We start from the raw sequence: 5010 nt of genomic DNA on the forward strand, positions 1-5010 counted from the left end.
GTATTTCCCAAAAGAATTTACAGCTGACTCCTGCAGAAATTGCTGAATGTGCCACTCATTTACCAGTTTTCATAATAATAGCAGCTAATATCTATAGTGCTTACTATACTCTATGCTCTGTATACTACTTTCATATATTAACCTATTTAAAACTCACAGCAACCCTGTGAGGCAGATACTATTATTATCCCCCTTTTACAAATAAGGATTGAAAGTTTATGTAACTTTCCCAAGGTTACCCAGCTGGAGAACTGCAAAGCCAGGATTTTGACCCAGTCACTCAGCTCCAGAAACTGTGTTCTTTATAGATAATCTTGTATTATTCATTAACTTTTTATATCTACTCCCGTCTTCCCAATCAGATTCTTTAAGGGTAGTTACTACATCTCCTGTCTCATTTTATCCCTTCCTGTAGCCACTATAAAGTTTTGCACATGGTTAGTTATTACCGTTTGCTGTCCATGTCTGCCTTAAAGTTGTCTTAAATTCTTTCTGGGGAAAAAGGTGAAATATAAATGATCAAGAAGCTATGGAGGTTTCTTGCACATCAGTCTCCCTGAAAATCTATGACCAGACCTTACAAAGACTTTTGTCATCTTCCTTGAACCAGATAGTCTGGAAAACCTAACTTTACAGAATGAATGAATTTTAGTAAGGGCTAAAAAGTGAATTCCATGCTCTCCTACCCTCTGCTTCACATACACCAAGTTTCAGCATATTAAAAATTATTTTCACAGGGAAAACAATTCTGAAGAAAATAATTCTCAAATGCATTAAATACAAAATTATTTTTGCAGAAGGTTTGGGGAGGGAAGTCAGACTTTTGAAATGCTGGTTTGTAATGTTATCCTAAAAGAACTTTTTGCAACATTTCAATTTGTAGAATGTATCATTCTAAACGTATGATTGCCTATGAGGTCAGGAACCTTGTCTGATAACACATTTATATTGTTCAGAGCACCTAGCATAGTGATAGGCACATATTAGTTTTTAAAAATTTCTCTGAATTGATTTTCCCAAATTATTTTGCCATCACTGCTTTTCCCAGAATATATTAATTTCTTCCAAGCCTATGGATTCCCCTCCTCAAGCCTTCCAGCTCCTGCCAGCTTTGTTCTCTTTGTTCATCTTCTTCTGGGCCATTGCACTGTCTACTTGAGTTAGCCTGTAATATCATATTTGCCAGCAGGTGCTGCCATTTGCCACAGGATTTGCCAATTTTCAAAATTCCCTAAATCTGAGACTCCAGATTGTGTAAAATAGTACAGTGCCTAATTTATCAACTTGGCAGGTTTGAAGTGCTATAAAATCAGTTACTTAAAATGAGTGATACTTGTGCTGCATAATTTTAATGAGCAGAGCTCCACTGCTCTATTAAGACAACAGGGGACCACATTGAGAAAACAAGCAGCAAGAATGTGAGGTTAAAAGAATAACAGGAAAACCCAGTGGGGACAACATGTTCAATAAACAACTGACTTTCTCATTGACTCATCTTAGTATCTTTCATATCTGTCCTTCATTTCCATTTCCACACGAAGTCAGCCCTTTATTACCTCATATGAAAATTAATCCAGTATCTGTAGGTCTTTTCTCCCTGTCCCCAGGCTCTTCCCACTCCTAGCCATCTTGTGTATTGCTGGAATAACCCTCCTAGCATCACACTAAAAACCTTTAATGATGTCCAAATGCCATCATCAAGGCAGTCCTCTGCAGTGTGGCACACCAGGCCCAATAATGCAGTCTCAAATTACCTGTCCAAGCTTACTTTCAATTGTTCCCAGATTCTCCACTTTGACAAGGCAGGGGTTTGTATTCTTCCCTGCAGATAAACTCATTTCCATCTTAGTACCTTTGTGTCTGCTAATCTACCACCTTCCTTCTCTTAATTCCTTAGTCACTGCTATTGCTATATTAATTTCCCAGGAGTAACTAAATGCATGGAATATTGCTGGTTCATATAAACCCTTCTCCCACTATCCCTGGGAACATCTGGAATACAGGACAAGTATTCTACAACAAGACAGTATTAATGAAATACAACACTCTATAACATTTATATAATGCATTAAATAAGTAGACAACATGCAGATAATTCCTGGGAGATGTCGGTCAGCACAAGCCCTTCTATGTACCCACAGTCATTTTTGCATTCCCAGCTGAAATGTGATTTTGAAGCAGTCTCATCTCAGGACTTGTCTTGACTGCACGAGTGGAATCTCAGAGGTAGCTGGCAAATCCTCTGCTCCATGTAAAGCACCATGTTTCTTCTCTGCAGCCCAACCTGCGGTTTCCTAATCTCCTGACTTCCTGAAAGTCACAGGCTATACTATGTTGTTGTCTGCCCCACTGCTCTGGACCTAAGGCACGGAAATCATAGCATCCACTGGTATCACCAGAGGGAAGGGTGCTCCCAGAATGTTCCCCTTTTCTATATTTTCATATGCTGACCAGACTCACTTTCCAATTCCAGGTAGTCCTCTAAGGGTTTTCCTGCCCTCTCAGTCAGCCAGCACCTCTCTGTCTCTTCTATGATACACCCCTGATTTCCCGTTTTGGGATGAAATATGGTCTATTTAGAATGAGAACCAAAAGGTTTAGATTCAAGTTCTAGTTCTGCTACTTCCTAGCTGATGTATTTGAACCTCTGTTTCCTCAGAGGTAAAATGGAAATGATAATTTCTACAAATCTGAGAAGTGAGCTCAAAAAGGAGTAATACATGTGAGGTACATTGAAAACTATAAAGTGCCATATGCAAGTAAGATGACACGTATTTCTGCACTCAGTAGCAGGCACAAACGTATAGTACACATCCTGAGGCGGAGATATTAGGAACAAAGCTAAAACCCTGGCAGGAAGGAAGTACTCCCTGGACGATTTTTTTTTAACCTCGGTAGGTTACAGAACCAAGACTTCATCCACCAGCTCTATCTGAATGCCATCTAGTGGACACAAAGTTTTTGTGAGAAGTACTGCAGACATAAGTGATGGTTCATAAGGCATTAGCCTCTGTTGGTATTGCTAATACACAAGGTAAGCTTTCACCTTAGCTGGACACCTATGAGGTTCAATATAAAGAATTCCAGGGAAGGTCCTGATTTGTGATTCTCACTCCAGCCCCCATGACACCCAAAATTTCATCATCAGAGCTTCATATTTTTCCCGAGCATCAGGGGATTTTAACTCTTCCAATGTCTTTTATCAAAATTGAAAGGCCCATGGGCGAACATGCCCTTAGATCTCTTTCATCTCATACCTCAGCAGATTTTAGCTGAAGGTAAATGAAAAAGATCTTACAGGAATAGAAATCAAGAAGGGCAGGGCAAAGTGGAGGACCTTGGAGAAATATGAGAGGGTCAAAGAGACCGGGGTAACCAAAAACAAACTCCATACTCTCCCTAGCTTTGCTTTCACCAGGTCTTGTTAATCAAATGTTGTTTGGCTAACTTTAATTCTTTTTGCATCCTGCAGCTTACAATTAGCCTTGATGGCTGATGAAGCCCATATTCAAGCAAAAGTAGAAAGAATGCATTTTTTTAAGTTTTAAATTTATCTCTGAAGCCATCTCAGCACATACAGGGGCTGCAGGCAGGGAGTAGTCAGTGGTGGCAGAGGAGACTGCTTTGTGGTTTGCATCCAAAGTCAATGGGGCTTCCCACTAGCAGCCCTAGCTTAGCAGCATGGCACTGGAGGCATGCCCCTTTGGAAATGTGTTGGAGCCCTGCTTAGCTGTGTCTGCTCCTCCTCAACGTGCTTCCTTTTCTATCTACAGTATTTAGAAAGATGAGAGACAACGCTGCGAAGAACACAAAGGCTTTTGCAAACTGTCTCTGGCTTCATATTCAAAGCTGTTGCTATCAGGGTTGGATTTAGCAACTTGGCATTCACTTGGTAGGACCACCCCTGTTGGCAGCCATCTGGTGTCTTTTGGAGAATTTTTAAAGAGCACAGCTTGAAGAGCATTTTGTAGTGGAGAAAGCTTTGGTGTTCAATTCAGGAAGCCTGGGTTTGAGCCCACCACCAGTAGCAAAAGTGATCTTGGTTGATCCACCACCTCCTCTTTGAACCTCTGGTTTGTTTTTAATCAGTTAAGCGATTTGTCAATTTCCTGCAAGATCCAATAGTCTAGGGCAGAGGTTCTCCAAGTGTGGTCACAGGACCAGCAGCATCAATATCACCTGGGAACTTAATTTGAAATGTACATTCTCAGTCCCCACTTTAGTCTCCTGAATCAGACTCTCTGGGGATAGGACCCAGCAGTCTGTGTGTAAAAAACTCTCCAGTAACTCATATACACAGTCACTTTTGAGAACCACTGCTGTAAGGTTTTATTATTCTCCTTCTGCTGTTTCTTCTTTGGGTGTTCCTTGGCAACACTAATTTGCAATTGGTCAAAGATGTGTTGGAAGTCAAGGAAGGCATTCACTTGCAAAAGTCAGCTAACCAGGTAACCAGAGAGATCCAAATCAGAGTGTGGACATGGATCCTGAGGGAGAACCCTCCATCACTTCTCTAGGCCCTTCCATGGCCAAAGTTCCAGAAAGCCCTTTCTGCCCACAGTACAGACATCTTCTTGGCTGTGTTCTTGCAGCGCATTTTACAACGTCAAAAGTAGCAAAAGCAAAAGTGTTTTTTTGTTAATGACGCCAACCTCTCTATTGACTATTTTTGTCTCTAATCCCCATAGATACTTGTCATTTAGTGCTGGGCAAGGAAAATTACTTTCTTCATTTTAGTGTTTTGTTTTGCCCTCTACCTTTTTTGACAGCTCTTCATTTCCTCTAAGTTATCAGGGACAACCTACAAGTATGGTGCTGGGTTCCACAAGGGAACTGTGGTTTCCTAGCAACAGCCAGAGACTGCTGGGCCATTCTCTGAGTCACCAGCTCCAGGCAGCTCTTGATAAGCAGCATTGCTTGCAGAAAAAACCTCTGTGGACCCCACACAGGAGCCTGCATGCACATGTCTCCTTCGAAGGGCTATGGGATCTATACAGAACAGATCAGCAA

At 41.2% G+C, this 5010-nt stretch overlaps 2 annotated features.

Annotated features, from left to right (window-relative positions):
* Positions 4716-5010: a silencer, noted in NCBI's record as "tiled region #5211; HepG2 Repressive non-DNase unmatched - State 24:Quies". NCBI's record gives its function as "represses a minimal TATA promoter and a strong SV40 promoter by Sharpr-MPRA in HepG2 cells {active_cell/tissue: HepG2}" and the evidence as "EXISTENCE:reporter gene assay evidence [ECO:0000049][PMID:27701403]".
* Positions 4716-5010: an enhancer, noted in NCBI's record as "tiled region #5211; K562 Activating DNase matched - State 9:DNaseU". NCBI's record gives its function as "activates a minimal TATA promoter and a strong SV40 promoter by Sharpr-MPRA in K562 cells {active_cell/tissue: K562}" and the evidence as "EXISTENCE:reporter gene assay evidence [ECO:0000049][PMID:27701403]".

This window comes from Homo sapiens, chromosome 14 (genome assembly GCF_000001405.40).
Source record: "Homo sapiens chromosome 14, GRCh38.p14 Primary Assembly".
Lineage (NCBI taxonomy): Eukaryota > Metazoa > Chordata > Mammalia > Primates > Hominidae > Homo > Homo sapiens.